At 39.6% G+C, this 27,968-nt stretch overlaps 1 protein-coding gene across 1 annotated transcript in view, besides 1 other annotated feature; it reads left to right on the top strand.

Moving 5' to 3' along the window:
• HIVEP3 (HIVEP zinc finger 3) overlaps positions 1 to 27,968 on the top strand; it is a 529,570-nt gene that overhangs the window by 9,601 nt on the left and 492,001 nt on the right. The gene's annotated exons all lie outside the window — the stretch shown is intronic.
• Positions 23,846 to 23,925: an enhancer, noted in NCBI's record as "active region_891". NCBI's record gives its function as "activates an Ori minimal core promoter by ATAC-STARR-seq in GM12878 lymphoblastoid cells {active_cell/tissue: GM12878}" and the evidence as "EXISTENCE:reporter gene assay evidence [ECO:0000049][PMID:35858748]".

Here is a 27,968-nt window from a genome sequence, read left to right as displayed (position 1 = left end):
CTTTAGTTTTGGCGGCCTTGCAGGACAAGGAGGTTTTTGTCAAAGTACGTGCCTTGCTCAAGGTGGAGAGTCTCATAGGAGACCATCTCCATATAAAGCTGGATTTATTCAGGGGAAAGGTGAACCAGAAATAAAACTAGTTCTCTCTACCCTTCTGGGACAGCAGGGAGGTTGCCCTGGTACTGAGCAGGGTAAGAGAAAAAAAGGAAAAGTAAGTTATCGTGACCGACAAGCCTTTTCGCAGATTTTTTTTTTTTTCTCTTTTGAGACAGGGTCTTGCTCTGTCGCCCAGGCTGCAGACAATGCCACGATCACGGCTCACTGCAGCTTCAACCTCCTGGGTTCAAGTGATCCTCTCACCTCATCCTCTGGGTAGCTGGGACTATAGGCACACACCACCACGCCCGGCTAATTTTTTATATTTTTTGTAGAGACAGGGTTTTGCCATGTTGCCCAGGCTGGTCTTGAACTGCTGGGTTCAAGCGATCTGTTCTGCTCAGCCTCCCAAAGTCCTGTGATTACAGGTGTGAGCTACCATGCCTGGCCCCTTTTTACAGATTTGAGGATGGTTTTATGTCACCTCAATTTCTGAGAACCTCAAGCTATGAACTTCGTTTAAGGTAGTTCCAAGTTTAAGGTAGAACCAGTTCCAGGTTCCTAACCCCACTCCCAGATACCTGGCAGAATCAAAGATGAATCTCCGGAGGAGGGCACCTTCTTCCTAATTTTCAAGGGTCAATGAGCAGTACAGTCAGAAATAACAAAGCGTACAGGGAAACAAAATGTGATGCGAGAAACAACAGAAGCAATGAATAGAATAAAAGAAAACCAGACTCACAAATTCTTTATGTATTATGAGTACAGAGACAAATAAAAACCTATGCTTATTGTGTTCATAGAAATAAAAGTACCCTTATAAATACCTTCATGGAATGGGTAACAATTAAAAGTGGCTTGGCAGATTTTAAGAAGGTTAAACAGAACTAGAAATAAAAATATAAAACTGAAATTTTAAAATGTAGTGGTTTCCCATTAGACAGCACATATGACAAAATCAAAAAGAAATTAGTGAATAACTGAATGATGAGGCATAAGAAATTATTCAGATGCTGCACAGGGAGACAAAAAGACAAAAAATGTGACAGAGAGGCTAAAAGACATGGAAGCTGGAGTGAGAAGATCTAACACGCATTTAATTGGAAAGGAGAGGAAAGAGAATGGGGCAGAAACAACTATTCAAGGAGACGATGCTTGAGCTTTTTCCAGAATTGATCAAATTTATTAAGCCAAAAATTCATAAGCAGAGCACTGAAGGCAAAGAGAAAATTCTAGCAGGAACAACAACAACAAAAAGACATATGACTTTGGAAAGAGCATTTTACATACTTCTCAACATCAATGGAATCTAGAAGACAGTAGAATAAATCTGTAACTGAAATAGCTGAAAACTTAGGATTATATGCACAAAGTACCTTTCAAGAATAATGGCAAAATGAAAACATTTTCATATAAAGAACAATGTGGAGTTTGCCACCACTTTAGTGACTTTGCCTCACTGAAGGCAATCTTAATTGATGTACTTTATGCAGAAGGAAAGCAATTGCAGATGGAAAAAGCTGAGATGCTATAAGGAATTAAGGATTTTATAAAGAGATCACCATGTGGGTGAATGTAAATATAGATGAACAATGAAGCATAAACAAAATTTTAATATCTTACAGGCTAAAATATTTAGAAATGAAAGACAACAATAGCATATAAGTTAAGAAAGGGGGTAAAAAGAATCAAGAGCATTCTAAGGTCCTTATATTACCTGGAAGGAGAGTAAAGATAATGACTATCTTCAGGCTGATAAATTAACAATGTATGCTGCCATTTCTAAAATAAGCACAAAAGGAATAGAAGCAGGGTATTTAATATCCCAGCTAGTTGAGGAAGACTCATTGGAAACATAAGACCACAGAAAGAGTGAAAATAAAGGAATGGAAAACTATATACTGTCAAATAATAAGCAATGTATCAAATAAAGTAGAGATTGTGATTAAAAACATTATTAGGGATAAAAAATTATGTTCACAAGGAAAATATGTTTGAAATGTATATGTACCTAACAACTAAATAATATATAGAGAAGAAAATGACAGAACCACAAAGAGGAAGAGAAATATCCATGATCATAGTTATTTCAAATTAGAATACCTAAGACATTTTAAAGGAGAACTAAGTCAGAGGACTTGCTGTATGGATATCATGTCTTATTATAAAGCTATTGTAATAACAATGGCATGGTATTGATTCAAGGATAAACAAAGAGTCCAACAGAACGAAGTAGAAAGCCCAAAAACACTACTTTACATTTACAGACTCTGGATTTATTACGAAGGAGACACTACAGATAAAGGGTAAACTTTCCAATAAATGGTACTGGGATTCATGGATATGACATGAAAAATATGTAATTCGACTATCACTTTACACAATGCATAAAAATCAATTGCAATGGATGTCCTTAGACTGGGTAATTTACAAAGGAAAGAGGTTTCATTGGTTCATGGTTCTGGAAACATGATGCTGGCATCGGCTCAGTTTCTGCAGTGGTCTCAGGAAACTTACAATCATGGCGGAAGGTGAAGGAGGAGCAGGCATGTCACAGAGCCCAAGTAGGAGCAAGAGAGAGAGAATGGCGGGAGGTGCTACACACTTTTAAACAACCAGATCTCATGAGAACTCACTCACTATCAGGAGAACAGCACCAAGTGGATGGTGATAATTCATTCATGAAGGATCCACCTCCATGATCCAATCACCTCCCACCAGGCTCCACCTCCAACACTGGGGATTATGATTAGATGTGAGATTTGGGCAGGGACACAGATCCAAACCATATCAATGGGCTTTTAAAAGTTAAATATGAAAGCAAAAAAATGGAAGATTTTGAATGGTAATATAAGAGAATATCTTCATGATCTCTGCGTAGGGAAGGGCTTAAATAAAATTCCAAAAACATTAACTTAAAAAAAGGTTGATGGCCGGGTGTGGTGGCTTATGCCTGTAATCCCAGCACTTTGGGAAGAAGAGGCAGGCAGATCACTTGAAGTCAGCAGTTTGAGACCAGCCTGGTCAGCATGGTGAAACCCTGTCTCTACTAAAAATAAAAAAATTAGCCAGGTGTGGTGCCACATGCCTGTAATTCCAGCTACTTGGGAGGCTGAGGCATGAGAATCACTTGAACCCGGGAGGTGGAGGTTGCACTCCAGCCTGGACGACAGAGTGAGACTCTATGTCAAAATAAATAAATAAAAATAAATCAAAGCTGAGAAAATTTATTACACTAAAATAGAAAAATTTTAAAAGAAAAACTACTATGAAAATAATGGAATAAGAAGTTACAACACTGGAAAAGAAATTTGTGAGCTTTGTGAGGACAGGGACTGTGTCCATTTTATTCATCATTATATCTCACCATGTTCTGTAGTGCCTAAAATCAAAGCTGCAGCACCCAAGATACTTTAAGTACTTACAACCATTCCCAAATGATGGATACTTACCTACAGAGAAGACTCCACATCATAAACCACAAACATTATTCTATTGCTTTCTTCTGTTGCTGTTCATTCCTTAGAGAAAAAAGAAGAGATATATAAAAGTGGTGACTTAACCAGACAATTGTTTAAAAATATGCATTTAGTGTAGAAACTATGTGTTCAGGATTGTGCAGGTTGCTGAGAAGAATATATAGAAATATAAAACAAGAGTCTCTTCCCAAAGGAGTTTACAGCCTACTTGGGAGATTGTGACAAATATGAAAAAATACTTGACAAATCTGGACCATTTAAATAATGCTATTTATGCTATAGCCATACATAGGACAGAGATAACACTTCCAGATGTGGTAATTGGGAAATATATCATGCAGGAGGAAAGATTTGATCTATGTATTGAAGGAGGGTAAGTTTATGGGCAGGAAGAGAGCATGGAAGCAAGCATCCCACGGGAGGGATGCTTTGTAGGAAATAAAAATTTAAGGTGCTTTGGGGAAAGGGCAATCTCATCAGAGTGGAAGGAGACAGATTAGAAGCATAGATTCTTTAAGAATAAATATGAATGAGTAGCTGGAAATTTTCTGAGAAAGAATAGTAGTGATGTGAACATAAAAGCCTAACTAGTTATGATAAATGTATCCGTAAGTAAAGTAATTAAGCCAGTTTGGGGTTGGCAGAGGAATTGTGCCAGACATCTGTGGATTTTGCTACCCAGCAGCATTCGCTCTTCTCCTGGTTGTGGGGCCCCAGCCCTGTTGCTATTACCTGGAACTAAAGGTTAAGATGATGGTTCAAAGATGAAGCCACCATGGAAGAGAGCATAGCGGACAGATGGAGAGAAACTGCATCCAGGTGACCCCATTTGTACTAAACCTGGTTACCTGGTTTTTCTTTAGTACATATGCCAGTTTGAATTGGTTTTGTCATTTGAAATGAAGAATGAAAACTGACAGAAGAATAGACAGACAGAAAGATCAGGAGAGCAGAGTAAAGAATTCAGAAACAGACTGATATACACGTGAGAATTTCCCCTCACTGGACATTCCTCAGTCTTTGCTCTGAATCTCTTCCCCACTTCTGTAGTATCCCAGGTCTCAGGCCCTAGACTTCTTATCTATTCTTAGATGAATGAATTCAGTCTTGTGGTATGATGTATCTGTTTGCACATGACTCCTAAGTTTATATTTCCAGTTTTTGTTATTCTTCTGAGATTCAGACCCATATATTCACTTGTCCACCAAGATTCTCCACTTGAGTGTATAAACGGATCTGAAGTGTAACATGTCCTATACCAAACTCCTGACTCCCAACCCCCCCTTACCCTAAATCTGCTCCTTTCCTAAGAATCTCAGGCTCATAAAATGGCAGCATTGTCCACTCAGTTTCCCAGGCCAAAAACCTAGAAGTTACCCTTGAGTCTTTTCTTTCCTATAACTCTCACATTTAGGCCATCAGCAAGTCTTGTTGATTCTACCTTCAAAACACAGCCTGGATCTGAGCACTTCTTATCTCCTTATAGGAGGTAAGTAGATATGTAGGTTCCCAACATAGTCCAAGCCAGCACCATCTCTTGCTTGGATTATTGTAATAGCTTCTAAGTGGCTTCTCAACTTCCTTTTTTCCCCCTTATGGTCTATTCTACACACATTCGTTAGAACAGTCTTTTCAAACACAAGTCAGATCATGTTACTTGCTTGTTCAAAGCCAGTGTTTTCCCATGACATTTTTAATATCCCAAATCATTACCATGGTCTCCAGGACCCTGCAAAATCTGACTTCTGCCTAGATTTCTCAATCATCTCTGCTTCTCTCTCACTCACTCTGCTACAGTCACACTGGCTTCTTCATTCTTCCTACAACATGCCAAATACATGTCTACCTTAGGGCCTTTACACTTCTTGCTTTGGATCTTTTGATGTCTCATTCCCTCACCTTATTCAGGTTCTCCTCAAAGTGGCCTTTCCTTTCCACCTCCCCAGACCCTAACCTTTCTTGGTTCTTTAGAACACTTATTACTATTTTGTTTATTGTCTGTTCTTCTCATTAAATGAAAACTCCATGAAGCAGGAATGTTGTCCTCTTTAATAGTATATTCCTAACATTGGAATAATGCCTGGTGTATAGTTTGAGCCAATACATATTTTTGAATGACTTATTAAATGAAATTTTTATATGATAGAGGTAGCACAGCATATCATTTTGTAAGAGATTTATTATCCAATGACTGGTTTTGAGAAAACTAGTTAGACATTTTAGGAGAAGATGTATGCTTAATAAGAGGATATAATGAACAGTTTTTGCCAACATACTTGACAATTTAGATGAAATAAACAAATTCCAAAAAACCTGATATACCAAAGCTAACACAAGTAAAAATAGAAAACCTGAATAGAGCTATATCTAGTAAAGAGTTTAATTCATTATTAAAGACCTTCGCATCAAACAGCAGACAAACAAATAAATTTTCTGGGGCAGATGGCTTTTCCGGTAAAGTCTTCCAAACACTTAAAATAAATAATAACATCAATCTTACATACTCTTTCAGAGAATAGAAAAAAAAGTAACATTTCCCAGCTCATTCTCAAGAAAAAACATTATATCAAAAGCTGACACAGACATTACAAGAAAAGAAAATTAAAGACCAAACTCTCCTGGACATAGATACAGAAATACTAAGCAAAATATAATCAAAATGAATTTAGTGATACATAAAAAAGATAATACATTATAACCAAGTGGGATAAACTTTAGGAATTCAAGAGTAGTTTAACATTTGAAAATAAATCAAGATAATACCTTGTAGTAACAGAATAAAGGAGTAAAAATATACATACAATCTACATAGATGTAGAAAAGGATTTGATAAAATTCAGTGTTGATTTATGATTTTTAAAAAGCCTAAGCAAAGGAAATTTGTTAATCTGATAATGAGTGCCTAAAAATATCTTAAACATCATTCTTGATGGTGAAATGTTGAAAGTCTTCTCCTTGAGATATCTGCTAGCATCACTTTAATTTAGCATTGCATTAGAGATCCTAGCCATTGTAGCAAGGCAAGAGAAAGAAATAGAAAGTATATGGTTTGGAAAGTAAGAAATAAAACTGTCATTATCAATAGGCAACATGACTGTATATATAGAAAACCCAAAAGAATCTATAGATAAACTATTAGAATTAATAAGTAAATTTAAGCAGGGGTACTGGATACCAGGTCAATATATAAAAACCAATTATACTTACATATACTAGCAATAAAAATAGAAAATGAAATTTAAAAAACAATACCATTTACAATAGCCTCAGAAAACACCGAATTCATAGGAATAAATGTGACAGAGATGTAAGATTTCTACATTGAAAACAAGAAGACATACTGAGAGAAATTGAAGAAAACTTAAGTAGATGGAAAGATATACCATGTTCATAGAATGGATGACTCAATATTGTGAAGATGTCAACTTTCCTTAAATTAATTTGTATATTATACAAGCCATTCAAAATTCTAGCAGGCTTTTTAAATGGATATCAACAAACTGAATATAAAATCTGCATGGAAAAGAAAAGGGCCGAGTTAAGCCATCACAATAATTAAGAATATGAAGGAGGCTGAGATAACTTATGGCACCAAATATTTAGAATTATTATAAAGCTATTGTAATTAAGTCAATGTGGCATCTGTGCTAAAATAGACAAATGGCCCTATTGGGGAGGAAATATAATTTTTCCTCAACCTCTATGAGTTCTTAGTTGAGACAGATTCCTGTAACAAAAGACAAGATTAACAAGATAAAAACAGACAAGCTAATTAACATGTGTAGCACACATCATGAGGGACAAACTTTAATGAAAAGTATCTCAAAGCAATGGCTTAGAACTCAGGCTTATATAGCATCTTCAACAAACAGCAATACATTTGTAGACAAATGAAAGGACAAATGAAAAGATTTTAGGTTTCCAAGGGTGGGAAATGATGGGAAGGTAAATATATGGGAGGAAACTAATGGAGTGAGGTTTATTTTCAGGTTCCTCTGATGCTGTCTATGGGCTGATAAAGAGTCTAGAGTTTTCTCTAGTCAAGGAGAACTTATATCCTGCCTGTAGGCAGAAGGTAGGATAGGGTGAGCTTTTTCTCTGTTTACTGCTTCTTAATTGCCTTTTGCTAAAAAGTAATTTTTATGTCAGAGGCATATTTTGGGGTGACATATTCCTGTTTCCTTAAGCCCAATGGAACAGATTAGAGAATTTAGAAAGAGATCTTTATATGATCACTTGATTTATGACAAAGTTGACACTAAAATACAGTAGAGAAAGGATGTCTTTTCAATAAATAGTGCTGACTCAATTTAGTATCCATACGGGAAAAAAAGAATCTTCCTCAAGCCATTCACAAATATCAATTCTAGCTGCATTGTAGGTCTATATATATTAGGTAAGACAATAAAGCTCTTAAAAGAAAACATAAGAGAATATCTGTATATCCTTAGAATAGCCAAACATTTCTTAAACATTACACAGAAGGACTAACTATAAAGGAAAATATTGATAAACTAGATTAAACTAAACTCAAGAAATTCTGATCATCAAAAGATACTATTAAGGGAATGAAAGAGCAAGCCCAGAGTAGGAGAAGATACTATAAATAACTACAAATCAATATGAGAAAGGCAAGTAACCCAAAAGAAAAGTGGACAAAAAGCTTGAAAAAACACTTTACACAGAGAATGTTCAAATGGCTTACAAATATGTTAAAAGTTATATCAATTGCATTCATTGTCAGAGAAATGCAAATTAAATCTACAAAAAGGTATGTCTACATATGCTTCAGAATGGCTAAATTTAAAAAGTCGGACAATACCAAATGTTGACAAGAACATGGAACAACTAGACTCTCATATATTATTGGTGGGAATGTAAACTGATACAGCTATTATGGAAGACCGTTGGGCAGTATCTACTGGGCAGTATCTACTAAAGCTGAACATACACTCTGTACCCGCAATTCCCCACTCCTAGGTATATGACAAACAAATGTAGTATATATATTTGCCAGAAGACATATATAAGAAGGTACATAGCATTCATAATATTCATAATAGCCTCAAACTGGAAGCAACCCAGATATCCAAAGACAGTAGAATAGATAAATAAATCAATATATGGAATATATACAGAAATGAGAATATGTAATCTATAATCACATGCAAAAACATGGGCGTATGTCACAAACATAATGCTGAGAAAAAGAAGCCAAACACTCAAACAGGCAGCACTAATCTCTGGTAATAGAAATCAGGATAGTGGTTACCTGGGGGTGGTAATGACTAGAAGCGGGAATTAAGGGGACTTTTAGGGTGTGAGTCATATTTGGTTTCTTGGTCTGGGTGTATGGTATGGGATGGGGTTATTTTGTGAAAATTCATCAAGCTGTACAATGATGCCTTGTGCTCTTTTCTGTATGTATCTTATACTTCATTAAATTTTTTATTTAAAAAAACCTGGATCCTTACTTCAATTCTTAAACCAAAGTAAGTTACAGCTAGATTACATATTTAAATATAAAATGAAAGGTCCACAATTAAACATGGATGAACTTTTTTTTTATAATCTCAGAAACATGAATTGGAAAAAATTTCTTTGAAAAGAAAATTAAAATGGTAATAAATAAATATCAACATGAGGAAAATATTTATAAAATAATAATGTATTATGTGTTGCCAGTCAGACCATCAGACATTAAAAGATACAAAATACTCAGTGTTGCTAAGGTTTGGTGAAAGGGTACTCTCATGTTTGATTATTAGAATAATTTGTTTCTACAGCATTTTTGGAGGACTTTAAAATGTGCATACTATTTGACCTAACAGTACATTTCTAGGAATTTTATCTTAGGAAATATTTGCCTACATAAATATATCAGGATAGTAATTAAAGCATTTTTATAATATCGAAACTGGAAATACTTTAAATGTCTATGAATAGAGTACTGGTTATATAAGGTACACCCTGTTTAATAAAGTATACTATGTCTGGTAGAAAGAATGAGGTTGATCTGTATCAGTGGATGAAGTCATATGGCCAGGAGATACTGATTGCTAAATGAAAAGAGTAAGTTGATGAACATTTCTGTAGTGTGATCTCATTTAAAGAAATATATATTTCATTGGAAAATTCTGGGAAAATATACACCAAACTATTTACATAAAATGATCACATATAGTCAAAAATATTTATGTGCATGTATTAAAATCAGTAGGAACTATACCAAAATGTCAACACTGGCTCTCTCGGGGGATTACTGAGGCATTTAAATTTATTTTTGTATACCTTTGTATTCCAAATTCCCTACAATGAGTGTATGTTGATTTAATAACCAGAAGATGCTAAATAGGATTATTAAATTTTGTCTGTATATTACCAGTTTCATGATAAAGATCAAACTCCTAATGAAAGCATTTCTTTCCTGTCCTTACTGCCTGTCTGTCCACCTTTATCTGGCACTGACCTTCCATATGCACCCTGCATTTCGTTTGTATACAGAACACAGATACTTTCTTATTGGAAATAATTTAAACAATGAGGAGCACATAGAGAATAAAACGTGGAAACTCGACCTTTTTCTGTACGTTTGCTCACATATGTATGTGTATATACAAATATAGTCTTTTTAAAAGCATAAATGGGATGCTTGCCTCCTCCATCTTAACCACATTCCATTACTTGCTGTTCCTTGAACCATTCATGCTGTTTCAGCCCCACGTAACTAGCCAAAGGCCCCTTTTACCCTTTCTTCCTGTCCCTGTGCAACCAGCAATTACAGTGTCTAATTATTTGATGTTTTTCCTAAAGACTTTTGATGCAAGAGGTTCAAAAGGCACAAAGCATGAAAGGAAAGCAGACGTAGCCATTGCCATGTAGGCAGCTGAAGGATGATGGAGAATTGGCAGGATACTGTTTCCAGTTATTCACTGAGATTTTTATCCCTCTGGTTTCTCTTAGTGATGGCACATCCCCTGCCTAGGCAGCTAGGGTGTTCCCTACTCATTGCCTCAGGGGACAAGTGACATAGTGGATTTCAGAAATCGATGCTTAGCTTTTGATTTGCTACAGTCTGGTTCTTGTGTGGCACCAAAGGACTCAATGCATAGACAAAACATTTAGAAAGATGCCCATGAGTAAGAAAAGGCTTCTTTAGTACCTTTAAAGCCCCTTCCTAATGGGGTGATATTGTCCTTGGTGAGAAGAGAGGAGGAGAGCTGGAGGGAAGGAGGAAAGGCAGATGTCCGTGGTTCCTTAGGAGGCAGGTCTTGCTCTGTGTCTACGCTGAATTCTGAAGGGCAGTGACCATGCAAACCCCTCACAGGTCTGGCATGCCAGAGAGCAGAGGAAACCCATGCCCCTGTATTTAGGCAAGGCTCAGAGGCTTTGGCACTCACTGAGTAAGGCCCTGGAATGTAGACTTAATTCTGGGGAGATGGGGTTGGAGGAGAGACCTTGAATTGCATGGAATTAGTCTCTAACAGAGGGTTGCATTATAAATTAAGATGATTAGAGAACAGGTAAGTTGCATTCTTTACATACCTGAGCTTGAAAACTGAGAATTGTCCTCATAACAAATAGAAGAATTCTGATTTTATTTCTTTGCTTTGGTGGTGGTGCTGGTTGGATTTTGATGTTGGCCATGAGCCCCGGGGATTTCCTTAAGCATGATCCTCGGAAGCTGTCTCACTTTCTCCCTGGCTTTGCCTCTCCACAGGGCTGCTGACCACCAGCAGCACGGACCTCTGGAGGCCAAAACAGGCCTGACAGTCACAGATGTGTTTGCCATCTCATCTTTATGTGAGTGGAGTAAGGAAAGATGAAAGCCACAGAATGAGACCTTTCTGGACATGACTGTACAGGAGCCCAGCCTGGAATGCACTCAGAGTTGATGCTGAATAAACTAAGAGATGCAAATAAAAACCAACAAGGAACCCTTCTTTAACGTATTAAATTTGAGGGAAAATTCTTGTCATTGACTTGCATTCATTCAAGGGTTGGTTAAGTAATTTTCAGACCTAAATTTGTTATTGATCATAGCATTTAGAGTGAATTTTGGATATCACTCAGTAACTTCAGCTTCATTGGTGCCTAGAAAGTTCACCTGAGCAGATGTCACAACACAATAAGCTGATGGAAATGAGAGGACAGATCGGCATCACTGGACCTACAATAGAGGAGGTTATTTCTTTGTGGCCATTCTAGGTACTCTGTGAAGCTCAGGATGTGGATATTGTTGGCGCAGCTTTATTTGTGCTCTGTTGTCCCGCCATCATTTCAGATTTGCTGATCTTTGCCACAAGTCCGAATCAGCTCATCCATTTTCTCACCTTTCTCTGCCTTTTCCCCACCTCCTGCTTGTGCTTTGCACCCCCTCCTTCCTTGCTGTGTGCTGGAGCCGCGTGACTTTCTCCTTTCCCCGAACTCTCACCCTGCTTGCCTTTGGTCCCTTCTTTCTCTGTGATGTGAACATCCTTGCTTAAATGCAGCTGTATTGTTCATTTTGTGGCATGCCATTTCCTTTCCACCTGGCAGACTCTCCACCAGCTGGGAAGGGACATGTATCTGCTCTTCAGGAAATGCTGTCCTTTGGGTGGAAAAGGACTGGCTTCCTGGCAGTGCCAAAATGAAGATCTTTCTCTGCTGAAAACAAAACAAAACCCCTTTATCTGTGAAACTTCCTGTTTCCTCCACTGAAAGCCGTGCTTCTCCAACATGGGGCATTATGCCAGGGGCACATGAAATCATAGGACAGACTGGGTGCATCTTCCCGGATGCTGCTTGAAACTTTGGGGGGAAATAGTTTTGACTTTTTCTTCCTCGTAAAAGCTGTTGCCATACATGGGTAGAGGAATATTATGGAGGGCAATGTAAAATTCATGTGGCATTTAAGGATTAAACAGGAGATGTAAAAATTTCTTGTTTCTGGTAAGCTGCTTTGGGTTATGTCTTCAAAATTCCTGGGGTGTCTTTCTGCTTCTCTGCTGTTGGGAAGGACTAAAATGGAGACTTCTGAGCAGCACCTAAAGTATTCCTTGTAAGTGGAAGACTGCTATGGGTTTGACCCAGCACATTTGGCAGCTTGGGCTGATTTAATGAAGTTGTACAAAATTTTGAAATATTAATAGAGATGTCTTCCTTCCCCAGCCCTTAAAATTTCCCCATGGCCCTCCCCTTATTCTGTTATTAATTCATTGCTGGAAGCATTTGGACTGTTATAATAGGAATGTAAAGATAAATAAACAGGTAGGGCTCCTGTTGAGATTTTAAATATCTGTATTTTCAAATTCATAGCAGAGACAAAGCAAGACTTTTCATATGGAAGAGTTTGGGCTTGAACATCAAAAGCAAATCTTTGAAGAAACTGAGGTGTTATGGGTTGAATTGTGTCTCCCCAAAAATCAGATGTTGAAATCTTAACTTCTAGTATCTCAGAATGTGACTGTATTAAGGAGAGAAGGTCTATTACAGTGGTAATCAAACTAAAATGAGGTCATTAGTGTGGGCTCTAATCCAATATGACTGATATGCTTATAAAAAGTAGAAATTTGGACACAGAGCCATGCATACAGAGAAGATAGTATGAAGAGACATAGGGAGAAGACAGCCACCTACAAGCCAAGGAGAGAGGCCTAGAACACATCCTTCCTTCAGCCCTCGGGAGGAGCAAATGTGGTCAACACCTTGATCTTGGACTTTAGCCTCCAGAACTGTAGACAATAAATTTTTGTTGTTTAAGCCACTCAGTTTATGGCAGCCCTATCAAACTAATACACAAGGCATAAAGTTTTGCCATGAACAACAGATTGGAAATGTGTTTCATCACATCTAATGTCTTGGTCTGTTCAGGCTGCTATAACAAAGTAGCATAGACTGGGTGGGTTAAACAACAGATATTTCTTTCTCATAGTTTGGAAGCTGGAAGTCCAAGATCAGATGCCAGCATGGTTGGGTTCTGGTGAGGGCCCTCTTCCTGGCTTGTAGACAGCTGCCTTTTACAGTATGGCAAAGAGAGGGAGAACTCTAGTCTCTTCCTCTTCTCTTTATTTTTATTTTTATTTTTATTGAGAGGGAGTCTCGCCCTGTCTCCCAGGCTGGAGTGCAGCGGCACAATCTTGGCTCACTGCAACCTCCACCTCCTGGGTTCAAGCAATTCTCTTGTCTCAGCCTTCCAAGTAGCTGAGATTACAGGTGCCTGCCACCACACCTGGCTAATTTTTGTATTTCAGTAGAAATGAGGTTTCACCACGTTGGTGAGGCTGGTCTTGAACTCTTGACCTCAAATGATCCGCCCACCTAGGCCCCCACAAAATGCTCTTCCTCTTATAAGGGCTCCAGCCCCATCATGGGGACCACACCATCATGACGCATCTAAACCTACTTACTTCTTAAAGGCCACTCCTCCTAATAACATCACATTGGAGGTTAGGGCTTCAACATATGAATTTGGGGGGTACGCAAACACTCCATTCATAACATGTGAGAGGTCACCAATTATAAGGTACCTCCCAATTTTAAGAGACATCTATGTCTAAAGAAATGTACTACATCTTAGAATCAATAAAACATGGCAGTGTAGATGAAGAATAAAAGTACCCTGTTCTGTAAACTAGCTAAACATGGCCTAAGTCAGGGACAGGGAGGAACCAGAGGAAATGTTCCAGGGTTTATATTCCAGTGGGTTCATGGAAAGATACCTAGTTTCCTGTCTTTTTTTGCAGTGGACTGAGCCTTGGAGGTGGGGTGAGAGGAGCAGGGACATCCCTATGTCACTTCCCATTCTTGTTGTTTCCCAGGATGAGGCCCTGTAGAGAAGTTCCTTGTGTCCACATGGTACAGCACCAGCGAAAGTGCAAAAGGGCAGGGTAGCATGTCTTCATTAGAGACTAGAGAGTAGCACAGGACAGTGTCCAAAACTCCTGGTCTATAGATAATTTATTTGGAAATAGCAAAGAGGCAGATGGAGGAAGAAATTGTGAATAAGGGAGTCAGTGAACCGAAAGGAGCTCGTAGTTGAGATTAGAAGGATGTGGGCGACCCCTCTGCCTTGAGGCTTTGAGGCCAACATGAGGACCACAGAATCGGTGGAGGATTTGATAGGGATAGAGGCCAATGGGCAATGACCAGGTGGAAAGAAGGCAGTTGATGGAGGCCAGGGCAGGCACCATGTCCCCAAATGCCTGAGAAACCTTAGCTAGAACCCTAACAAGAAGGGTGATGGTGGTGTGATATCTTGAATTGATCAAGTTAAGCTTGAAATGATTAATTTTACCCAGAAGTAACTGAGTTTACCTGGAAATAACCTAGATTTAACTTCTAACTTTGAAGGGAATAGGAGGTCAATACAGAAACTAATTCTTTTTATAAAGAGAAAATATATTTGACTTTATACACGTGAGTCTAGATTTTAAAATATTTCACTCAGTGTATCAATTTTCACTTCTAATCCCTTGCCCTCCACATTATATTGGTTTTCCAGATACTCTGAAACTCTACATTGTCAAAAGAATTGAAAGAAAGTTGACTTGTGTTAATAGAAATGTACACAGGATTCTTTTTCAAGATGACAGACTAAGTACATTCGTTTGCCTCCCCTGCCTTCTTGGAATCTTCTGAAATGGTGGCTAAAGGCATCTAGAAAAAAAAAATTTGTGACAACTCTGAAAACAGCAGGCAGTGCTGTGGGTAGAAAAGATATTTCATCAAGACAAGCTAGATGGGCTTGCAGTTTGTTATTTCAGTGGGAAACCGTGTCCTAGAACTAAATGAAGAATTGTGTCAGAGGAGGGAGACCTTGTTCAGACAGGATCCAAGCTAGGAATTAGCACATATGGAGGACAAGAGTGAGCTTTGAAACAGTGGTCTGGGCTGAGCCTTGGAGGTGGGGTGGGATGAATTAAAGAGCAGGGACATCCCTCCTCTTGGTGGTTAACTGGAAAGATGTCCTTGGGACATTTTGGTTAAGTAGCTCTTTCCTTTCTAAGATGTGTATAGAGCAATTTGAATTCTAAGAATGGTTTTCTGAACTTATGAATGATTTTCTAAGGGACAGCCAAAGGTATGAAGTTGGGGCAAGAAAGCACTGCAAAGTAATATCTGATGTAGACCCAGCAGATAAAAAGGAAATCCTGAGGGTAGAGCCAGAGGGTAGAAAGGAAAGTCATCTCCAGCTAGGAGGGAAATACTTTTAAGTGCCCTACTTTCCTTTGAAGGTGGTGGAGTTCCAGATGTACTTGCTTGCTCCCTACCTGCATGTACCAAAGAGAAGAATCTCTGCACACAAAGGCTAGAGTCAGCCCTCACATTCAGAGCAAATAGACCTGCCTAACTACAAAGGAAACACACATGAACTACCTATACTAATCTACAGTCCTTCAGCAACAAATATAAAGGATCTCCTAAGGACCACCAGACATCTGAGGGAGATCAACAACATAAGAGACAAAGACCAAGATAAACAAACAAGAAGTCACTTGAGAGGATATGGAGATATTAAAAGCAATTCAGAGATTTTTACATAAATAAAACAATGACTCACTGCTATGAAAAACATGTTATTATGGCTGGGCACAGTGGCTCACACCTGTAATCTCAGCACTTTGGGAGACCAATGTAGGAGGACTGCTTGAGGCCAGGAGTTTGAGACCAGCCTGGGCAACATAGTGAGATCCTGTCTGTACCAAAAGAAAAAAAATTAGCCAGGCATGGTGGTATGTGCCTGTAATCCCAGCTACTCAGGAGGCTGAGGCAGTGAGCTATGATGGCACCATGGCACTCCAGCCTGGGCAACAGGTAAGACCCTGTTTTGTTTGTTTGTTTGTTTTTAAAAGGACATGATATATTCCAAATAAGTAAATGAGACAAAATTGAGAAAATCTTTCAGAAACTAGAAAAGGTGGCAAATTTAAGAAATATGTAAAAAGACAATATAATAGTTTGAGAAGGTCCAATATCTGCATAGTATATACAAAAGAAATGAAGAAATAATGGAATAATTTTTCTCTGAGCTAAAGGAAGAATCAAATTCTTCAATCAAAAGGAACCCACTGAGTGCCAAGCAGGATAAATGAGAACAGATCCAGATCAAGACACATTATGATGAATTTCAATACTCTGGGAATGAAGTTACACACTGGCTAAGTAGCTCTTTCCTTTCTAAGATGTGTATAGAGCAATTTGAATTCTAAGAATGGTTTTCCAAACTTATGAATGATTTGCTAAGGGACATCCAAAAGTATGAAATTGGGGCAAGGAAGCAATGCAGAATAATATCTGATGTAGACCCAGCAGACAAAAAGGAAATCCTGTGGGTAGAGCCAGAGGGTAAAAAGGAAAGTCATCTCCCACTAGGAAGGAAATACATTTAAATGCCTTAGTTTCCTTTGAAGGTGGTGGAGTTCCAGATGTACCTGCCTGCTCCCTACCTGTGTGTACCAAAGAGAAGAATAAAAGCTCTCAGCAACAGGGGAAACGACATTATTCACAAAGAAATAGGAAGTAGATTCACATATTACTTCAGTAATCGATACAATAGATACCAGTAGACAATGGCATAATGCTTTCAAAGTTTTAAGGGAAAGTAAACTAATAATTCTATACTCACGTTTTCTGAAATTCAGAGGTCGGGCATCACCAGCGTTGGTAAATTTATCAGCTTAATAATGACAAATAATAACAGGATTCCTGATTCTTCTGTTATTTTGCAGCGTCTCCTTAGCTTGTTGGCTTTGTGCTCAGGCTAGCTCCTCTATGGTGACAAGATATCCACGGTAGTTCTAGGAACCACAGTCAGAAATAACAGTCTGCAGAGGAAAATGGGAATGCCTTTTATTCAGAACTCCTGGAAGACTTATTTACCAAATTTTAACGTGTCTATTCCTAAACCAATCACTGTAAGGGTAATAGGTAGACCACTGCCTGTGGACACACGGACAAGGAGAATACCTGTACAAAGGAAGATGTTATTATGAAAAGTATTGGGGTGGGAGTAGATGAATGTTGTGACAGCCAGTAGTGTCTGCTGTACCAGCCATGTGAACAATTAAGTGTGTGAGTAAAATCAACATTTTCAGACATGTAAGAATTCAGGAAGTTTACTTCCCATATAGCCTTTCCAAAAAAAGAACAACTATTAAAGGATATCTCCAGCCAAACAACAAATGATCAAGAAATGGTTAAAATGTTGGATCCAACAAACTATGATAACCCAGTAGGGCAATGAAAAGAAATCCCAGTATAACAATTGTGGAGCCGATTTAGAAAGCAGCTGCCAACAATCAGAAGAAGCCACAGTGTCTTCAAAGAGAAAGTGATTCCATTACAGAAACTGTGTAGCTGAGAACTAATAATGGCTTTATCGTATGATGCTGCATATGCCTTTCCTTTTCTTTTTTTCTTCTTGGGAACTCTGGGAAAAATACAAAGTCATAATCCACATACAAAGGAAACAAAAATGTGTCTTGGTTCTCAGCAGTTGGTGGAGAGAAGGAACAGAGAGTCCACTTGATCTTCACACTTGAAACATTATTCTTCAAGTGGCACAGATTTCATGTGACAGGATCACATTTTGTTCTTTTGGGTTCAGTCAGACTTCTTGGTTCTGTACATTCCATCATATTTTCAGTGCTGTTTACTAGTTTTTATGTTTTAGAGTCAATTTAAAAACAAAGCATGGAAAATACAATAACAGAATATGATGTAAATTTATCAATCACATTTGGAGTCTAGGAGATGAAGTGGAAGGAATATAGGTGAGTCTTCGTGGGAGGTTTTAAAAGGGATACAGCAAGAAATAAAGATGTAAGTGCATTCGAGTTATGAAGGAATCCATCAGAAGAACTAAAGGGAGAAACAGATATGTTACCTCTAGAGCATGGACTGTCATGGGGGTGGAGTCAGAGTAAGACATCTCTACTCTTCCGTACTCATTTTTTTAAGCAAATGAATGTATTACTTTTGCGATAACCATTTTAGTACAAATATTGGCATATTATGGAGTAGAATACTGAGTAGTAAGCATTGGCACCGACAAAGCTGAGAAGCCCCAGTGGAAGTGCCATGTATTTCTGGTGAACAGTGTGCACTTGCACCTGTGTCAGTGTCTTCTCCCATCACCCAGACGCCTCTGCTGTCATCACAAGCCTCCCCATCACTCACATGTTGCTATCACACTGGAACTCAGCTTTGTCAGAAGACTTGCCCCTAAGTGAGGGTGAAGTTTCAGAGATGGCAAAAAGCCAGTTACCCTTGAAAATCCTTAAATTGCCCATCAAATACTCTACCTGCAGCACTAGAGACTGTGCTGCCTTCAATAAGCTTGGTAAAGCTGGTGTTCCCCCATTCAATTGTTGTTTCTTGCATTCACAAGCCACATGCTACCAAACCAAACTGAACCAACCGAACAAAAATGTCTTAATCTCTAGAATCCCACTCAAGATGTCAAAATGCTCACACTTGAAGAGAACTGCAGTGAGCCTCATGAAGGACTGGGGTATTCACATCCCTACCTCACGGTCACTCGAGGGCATGTGCTTTTGCAATGAAATGGTACATGCAATTGATCAGGCTCTCTCTCTGCTGTGGTGGAGATGGGGGTAAGCAGAGGGCATAGACCCAAGTCCATGTAAGTTGAATACTTGACTGACTCAGCTCTATTGTATTTCATAATTGTGCTTATTACTCAGAAAAACTCAGATTAGGCAGAAGCTTCTGTACACGTGGAAACACATATAGTCCAATGCTGAGAGTACTCATCAGAAGTTAGCCTAAGTTATGCTGCCTTCCTTCCCACTCCCTGCTGTGACCTTTGGTAAATCATAGAACTTCCTCTCTCTCAGTCTCAGTTTATCTTTCTCTAAATAGGAAATAAGTCGATAACATTTGGCTAGTACGGTCATTCTCAAATTGTGATCTAGGGGTCCCTGGGGGTCTCTGAGAAACCCATTCAGGGATCCATGAGGTCAAAAATACTTTTATAATAATACTAAGATGCAATTTGCCTTTTCCATTTTCATTCTCACGGGTGTACAGTGAAGCTTTACAGAGGTCACAGGACCTATGACATTGCAACAAACTTAATGCAGGGGCAGATTTTAGGATCCAGTTGTCTTCTATTAAGCCAGACATTAAAGAGACTCACTAAAGTGTGAAACAGCACCACTCTTTTCACAGTTTTTTTTTTTTTTTTTTGGCTTTGGAAAGTATAGTTATTTTTCATAAAATATGTTACTTATGTTAACATGTAATGAGGTTATTGACAATGAACTAATAAATATTTTAGTAATTTTTGTTTTACTTTCTGATATGGCAAATAATATAGATATTACCCCATAAACAAAGGCTCTTTGGGGTCTGCAGTAATTTTTAAGAATGTAAGGAGGTCCTGAGACCAGAGAGTTTCAGAACCGCTGCTCTGGTGCTTTGCAGTTAGCAGGGTACTTTCCCACACCTTATTTCATTGGTTCCTCTCGTCCCTGTCTCTTTCCTTGTCTCTTTCAGCCTCCCCCCACCCTCCACCCCTCACACCAACACATGCAACACATGCACACTGAAAGACACACCTGTAGTTTTTAGCTTGGTCTTCTGTCATATCTTGGTTTCCAAGTTTTGCTTCATATGGTTTTATCATCTGGAGGAAATGGGGAAGATTGCATGAAAACATCTAGCAATGATCCAACGATCTTTTCTAATGGTCAGCATTCATTTTTAACTTGTCGTGACCTTAAAGCTATCTGTGTAGAACTGTTTTATAGAAAAATATCTGGAACTGGAAATTCCCAGGAAAATCATAAAAAAGAAACTAGTTATGAAAGACTGGAGACCTTACTTCTAAACCACTCTCACTGAACCAGCCAAGAAGAGATTATCAGCTTTTGGCACAATTCTACATTTCTCACTTTAAGCTAGAAGCAAAAGTATTAAATTTTAGTTACCTCTAATAGTTGTGCAATTTTTAAACATGGTTGAAGGCTTTATTTGAAAGAAAGTATTGTCAGATGAGTAGTGCATTCAACTGATAGCAAAGATTTCTACAAGCAGCATCTTCACTAGTGATTCATAGTGCAATTCCAGCAACTTACTCTTTCCTGAATGTTGGTTGCAAAACAAGGTTATCAACCATTCAGATATCTTCAGAAAGATGCAGCATGGGAACCAACACTGGGGTCCTCCATGGGCGATGGAAACTTCTCTCCAGTTTATAAAGGTAGCCCCCCATCGTTTGAGCCTTTACAAAATAAATGAAGGCTGTGCACCCAAAGGTTTATCCTGGAATTTGCCTGACTCATTTATTCATTATATATATCTGTGTAGATATATATACACATAGACATATATATATACACATATGTGTGTATATATATACACATGTGTGTGTCATATATATGTATATGTGCATGTATACATATATATGTATGTGTGCGTGCGTGTGTCTGTGTGTGTACACCTACTATGTGCTGGGCATTACAGACTGCCATGACAGCAACTTGCTTTCCACTTGAGAGACATACAGAAAGCCCTGTACATTAGTAAGTGAATTATATAGATCTTTAGAAGGGCAAAATACTTTGGGAACAGTGAGCAAGGTAAGGGGAATCAGGGATACAGGGTAGCCTTGCTGAGATGATGACATTTAAGCCAAGCCCTGTATGGGGTAGGGTGGAGGGGGCAGTGCTCCCATCAGCGGGAATGGCCAGGGCAAAGTCCCTAAGGTGGAGTGTCCAGGACAGCAAGGAGGCCAGCGTGGGGATTTCCTGTCCCCTCTGAAACAGATATTGACCGTTCGAAGCAAAGGATTTAGAACTAGGCGACAGACATATTTACAGCAAACTCTAATATTTGAAACACATCTGTTAGGAGCTATTTTGCTTACTAAATGAGTTGCTGTAGCAGTCATCAAGATCACAATGGTGACTTGAAACACAGACTGCCAGGCTTCACCCCCAGAGTTTCTAAGTCAGTAGGTCCAGGGTGGAGCTTGAGGATTTGCAGCTCTAATGGGTTCACAGGTGATGCTGCTGCTGCTGCTTTGGTTACCATACTTTGAGAACCACTGCTCAATAGGTGATAGGATTTTCCTAATAGTTCCATGGTGTATTTTTAGGTATAATGTATTGACAACTTGCTTGGGAACATATCTTTATATAAGTAACTTACATTCCTGAAGAGTTCATGTGATCATACAGTATGGAGCTCAAGCGGTCGGCAGTTCTGACCCTTTGCCTTCCAAGCAACCATTCTGGCCCCATGATGCAATAGTAACTCAGAGAGGTTGCAGCTGCCCACGTCACCTAGTTGTTAGGTTTTTGGAAAGACGGTGATATACAAAAGTAATGAAAAAAAGCTCCCCTTTCTTCCTTATTTCTAGAACCACTGGATGTGCAAACATAATTAAATCTTGCTTTTTTATTAAAATAGGGAGGATACATTTTGCCCTTGACTGAGAAAATCAGAAGTCATGAGCCCCTGCTGTCTTTGCCACATATTAAGGCTTAGAATGCCTACAGTGGATGGATGTGGGCTCTACCTGTTTTGAACATGTGTGCTTCTGATTTCTTCCTGAGCTCTCTGATTTGCTTCCTTGATTTGTTTTCCTCTCCTCTTTCCTCCTGGGTCATGCCTGGGGCCTGCTCCACCACCTGGTTGGTGTCCACTTTGCAAAGGCGGACTTGCTGGGAGAGGTGGCAGTGAGGTTGTGTCCTCCTTTCCTTACTTGGCAGTTGCAGTGTGGAGGGGTGACCTACAACATGAGATGCCTTGTCACTCTGCCCGGATTTAGTACCTAACCTGAGACATTTGCATTGATTTGTTCCTTTTTTTGGTGGCAAAATTTGTGAGACAGAAAAACGACACATTTAACAGCAGCTTAATTTAACTAAAAATCTCAAGCTTATGTCTCCCCCAGAGGCATGTCCGAGGTTTTTTCTCTTTACTGTACTCTTGAGGTGACGAGAGTGCCTTTTTTTTTTTTTTGCCCTAAAAAGACATTTGCCTATTGACTTGGCCCCTTTACCTCCCTGCACCTTATAATCCTTGTCAGCAGCACAGGAAATGTGATCCTTCTTTAGAAAGGAGACCTCTGGAGGTTCTTGAACTCAATGGCCTGGTTTGCTGCCAATCTGGGCAGCCTCATGGGAGGGGCATGATTTCAGGATCTGTGCCAGGAAGGAGTGCCTGGGGGACTTGCTCCCAAGGTGGTTTGTCTTCTGTCGCCACTGTTCTCCCTTCTGGCTCTGTCAGTCGACTTCGATGTGCACGGACAAGGACCTCTTTGCTGAGTAAAGGACAGGGTGCTTTGGAAAACAGCTCAGAAACAACAGGGGCTCATTTATATTATGTTTTATTCTTTTGTATGATATTGTTTTTGAGAAGTCAGCTTTTTAGGTGGGGCACGTTGGCTCACGCCTGTAATCCCAGCACTTTGGGAGGCAGAGGAGGGTGGATCACCTGAGGTCAGGAGTTCGAGACCAGCCTGGCCAACATGATGAAACCTCATCTCTACTAAAAATACAAAAATTAGCTGAGCGTGGTGGTGCACACCTGCATTCCCAGCTACTCAGGAGGCTGAGACAAGAAGAATCGCTTGAACCTGGGAGGTGGAGGTTACAGTGAGCCGAGATTGTGCCACTGTACTCCAGCCTGGGCAACAGAGCAAGACTTCATCTCAAAAATTAAAAAAAAAGAAAAAAGAGAAGTCAGCTTTAAATATTAATTTCTAGATATTTAAAAATATTAGTTAGCAGTTAGAACAAAAAAAACCCAGAAATCTCTAAAAGATAATACTGAATGATGCTAATAAACTCACAGTCTCATATTAGGATTTGAATAAATGTATTTCTTGTCCTTACTGTCCAGCTACCATGTGCGGGTAAAATGCCAGAACCCTTTATTCTCAGGACCTTTCCCCCAGTGGAAAGGGGACACCTCTCAAAGCTCCATCTGCTGTATGAGCATGTGGGCAGGGTGGGAGGGGGAACCTGGAGCCAGAATGATGTCTGGATGTTTCCCTTTTGGGCTACTGACTTGTACAGGAGAGTGGAACCCCAGGGGTCCATCTGACTGGCCCTTGGAGGCAGTTCCCATATCTGGAGTCCCCTAAGCCATGGCAGGCCCCACTGGATCTGCTGATGGAATTGGCTGGGGCCTGGCATCTATATCTTAAAAGCACCCCTGAGTGATTCTAAGGGGCAGCCAAGGTTGAGAACAAAGTGTTCATGGGGAACCCTACTACCTTTGAGTCTGGTTTTTGAAGATCTCTGTCAGAGCCAGTCCTGATCTTTCCTGGCACCTGGACAGGTACAGGGATTTCCCAGCAACCGAGGTGTCATGTGGGCAGATGGGTGAAACTCCCTGAGTGGTGTTGTTTGCACTCTTTCGCGACTGACACAGCCAGCAGGAGTCTGTGTCTGTGAGAGGCCAGGGAAGGTGAGAAGGTCCTGCCCGTTCCCTTGGTTGCTGGGCCATCTGGGTCCCTGTCACTGGGGCCTCTGTTCTGAAGGTATCTGCTGATAGAAGCTGCAGTGGGTGGCAGAGGAGGAGGAGGTAATTTGGTCCCATCTTGGTATGATGTCCTCTGCGTCAGCGAGTCATTGTCAGACAGTTGCTAATTGTCACATTGTGTGTCTGATGATTCTCCTTTATTTTATTTTATTATTTTATTTTTTAAAAATAAAGACCTACCGTTTCTAAAGAGAACTGGCAGTCAATCAGAAAAGTGTGAGTTAAAAGCTTGTGGAAAGGGGGATTTGGGGCTACTTTTAGTGATTACAGGCAGGGGCATTGGTGCCCACCAATCAGAACAAGTGCAGGACATATGCTGGAATGGGGGCTTGGGTGTCCCCTGCCAGGCCCGGGCTACCCCCCAGTTGATGGATCATGGGGAATGTTTGGGGTTCCTGAGAGTGGGGTCAGGGCAGGGTGGGGGTAGTGGTGAGATACCCCGGAGACTTAGGCAGTGACTGTTTATCAAGTAGTACAAAATATTTCAATATTTTACCAAGCAGTATGTCTGTACAGGTGTATACCATCTAGATACCAGGGCTGCTTGTAAAAGATGCCAAAAATTCTGATTAACCTCAGCTTAAGTGTGTGATGAGCCAGGCTTGGTGGAAGATACTGTGGGTGCATAGCTGTGCCTGTCTCATCATTGCTGTGTCTTCGGGGCCCAGCCCAGGGTCTGGTACATAGTAGGTAATCAATAAATACTTGATCCTTGAATCTAGTCTTTCAGCTCTTATGGCTCTCCTAAGGAAAATTAAAGGAACACTATTGAGCATGACAATGTAGCAGACACTGTATCAGGCACTGTGTAGTGAGGTTATCTCCAGACACCAGGCTGCCTTTATGGGCACAGCATCTGTGGAAAAGGAGAGGATATTTTCATGCCAGTAGAGTGTGATGAGTCTTTAACCTGGATTTGTTAAACCAGACTGCTCACACCCTCCATAGACAATGTTGGGGCTACGCGGACAGACTTATGCTTCTGAGCTGACAGTTCAGTGTCTAGGTTATGTTACTAATATTATATCTGCTTATTTATTCTGTTGCAGACTCTTCTTTTTCAGTGTGTCCCTTTTTTCCTGTTCCCTTGCTCACCATTTTTACATTATGACCTATCTGGAGTAGAGGTTCTGTGTCTAACCTTGGGGTAAAGAGCACAGACTCTGGATCAGACCACCTGGATTCAAATCTTAAATGTGGTGTGACCTCTCTGTGCTCTGGCGTCTTCAGCCATAAATGGAAATAATAGTAGGTCATGCTTCATGGGGTTGTTGCAAGTATTACTATATGTAACGCACTTAGAATAGTGCCTGGCACATCCTCAGTGCCATATGGATGCTTGTTCCATTTATGATCTAATTTTAAATGACCAGATTTCAAATATGCTAATGTAAGACACAAGAGCTAAAACAGGTGACTCTTATTACTAGGGGAGGAGCTGGGGAGCGATTGGTTGCTCTGCTTCTCTATTTTAAAATTCAATAGAGTCTTCCATTTTGAGTATTGGGAGAAAAATCTTTGTCAGGAGGGTTTTTGGGTGCTGATTTGAAAGTGTCTTTAGTATATTTCTCATCATTGTATATTGCAGGAGAACTGTCATCCATCTGCAGTGCTTCCCAAGTAACTGTCTGGGGCTTATGGTGATGTATCCCCACTGCTGAGATGGAAGGGAGTCCTCAGATACCTGGCAGATCAACTGTGCTAGTTATAGCTGTCATGTACTGAGCATACTCTCCCATCCTCCTCTTTCTCCTTTGGGAACCTGCTCCTCTACTTCATGTGATCTTGGTGGGGCTGTCCATGAAGGTGACTTGTGCCTCCTCCTGCCCTTGCACATGGGCAGTGACCTGCAGTGGGCCAGCTGTAGTATTACATTCCTCCATTTACAGTGGCTGGTTTAGGGAAGGGCAATTTGTCCAATCTGGGCTACAAAGGTGCCCCCTGGGGGTTCTTCTCCTGGATCTACTGAGGGAAGACTATTCTCTTCATTTATGTTAGCAAGTTGTAAGGATGTTGGCCTAGGCCCACCAGAAGCTACCTTTCCTGGGATATGGAAAGAGTATCTATGGTAGGAAAGAGTAACACTAACATGCAAAGAGAAGTGGATACAAGCAGAGCAGAGAAAGAGAAGTGGAAACAGAAACACAACCAGATCATTTGAGTACCTAGGTCCAGCTTTAGCTGAACCAGTCTACACACTAAGTTTTCAATTATGAATTAATGAATTCCCACTTGTTTTGCTAGTTTAAATTGGGTTTCTGTCAACTGTGATTAAAAGATTCCTCACTAGTAGAGTCTGGACATATTTAATAACACTAGATTTTCTAGAATTCCCTAATATGGCCTCATAATAAAAGTTTGAAAAAAAAAAAAGAATGGATCAATTTGCTGCGTGGCTTGACTCTTTTGCTGCTTTAAGAATGGGCCAGCAAGGTACTTCTGTGACCTGATGATGGAACCATTCATATTGGACTTCACCACTCTGTGCCTTCCTTTATGTTCCCTCTCTTTGAAATGCTGTTCCCTTTGACTTCTTAGGTTCTTGCTGGCTTGTTCACCATTCAAAGTTCCATTCAAATGTTTTTCTTCTGCAATCATCTTTGATCTTGCTGCTCAGATCCTTTCCCTTCCTTTCTGGGTTCCCATAGCACTTTAATTTTTCTCTATTTATCTCAATTTGTAGTGTGTTATACTCAATTGTCCAAGTGACCCATGTGTCCTCTGGAATCATCCTGGCTTTGAGATTCTAATGGCACTGACTTGAATGCCCATTGATGTGAGCTGCGAACTTGGTCTTCTCCTAATTAGGGTTTTGGGGGTGGGACTGTAGAGAGGTGCCCATTAAAATCACCTGTATCTCCCTCTAGCACTTTTATGAGTTAATTTTTATACTCACTTCTTTTCTCCAATTCTAATTGCCTTTAATGATCAAGAATGAGAATCTGATTCAGGGTGTTTAAAATAAATTATTATGGAGGATTTTAACTTTTTTGTTTAGTTGGTTTATATTTTCTACACTTTCTGTACGGGGCATGCGTTGCTTTTATACTTAGAAAAAAGTATTATGGCTGGGCGTGGTGGCTCACACCTGTAATCTCAGCACTTTGGGAGGCTGAGGCAGGTGGATCATGAGGTCAAGAGATCAAGACCATCCTGGCCAACATGGTGAAACCCCTTCTCTACTAAAAATACAAAAATTAGTTCAGTGTAGTGGCATGCACCTGTAGTCCCAGCTTCTTGGGAGGCTGAGGCAGGAGAATCACTTGAACCTGGGAGGTGGAGGTTGCAGTGAGCTGAGATCGCACCATTGCGCTCCAGTCTGATGACAGAGCAAGACTCCGTCTCAAAAAAAAAAAAAAAAAAAAAAAAAGAGAGAGAGAAAAGTATTAAAAACCAGCAAAAATGATTCTCTATTATGTAGATGCTATCAAAATAAGAGTGGCAAAATCACATGAAGGAAGTGATAATGATAGCTTATTTTATTTTCTAACAATCTTCTTGTTATATAAAAGACATAAGCAAACCATTTATTAATTAATCCCTGATTATTTCAAATGGTCAGTTGTTAATAGACCTCAAATAAGGGTTTTTATGATCTGATTTTCAACAATTGGCTTTGGCATTCAATACTAATATTTATGCTTAATTTTACATTTGACAGAACTAAGCCATACACAAGGTATTTATTCTCAGGATATTAAATATCTGCTGTGTGGTTTACAAACATCCATTATAAGATAGAAGGCAGAGACCTATCTGAAATGCTCAGTATTCCTAAAGAATATATAAAATTTAGCAAAAAGTATGACATCATGACATGACATCATTTTGCTTAATTTTCACCCCTCATTTGATTAAATATGCCAAATATCCAGAGTCAAAAGTGGAAGGAGA

This window comes from Homo sapiens, chromosome 1 (genome assembly GCF_000001405.40).
Source record: "Homo sapiens chromosome 1, GRCh38.p14 Primary Assembly".
Taxonomy (NCBI): domain Eukaryota; kingdom Metazoa; phylum Chordata; class Mammalia; order Primates; family Hominidae; genus Homo; species Homo sapiens.
The sequence above is the reverse complement of the archived record's forward strand: the minus strand, read 5'-3'. Positions and strand labels throughout refer to the sequence as shown.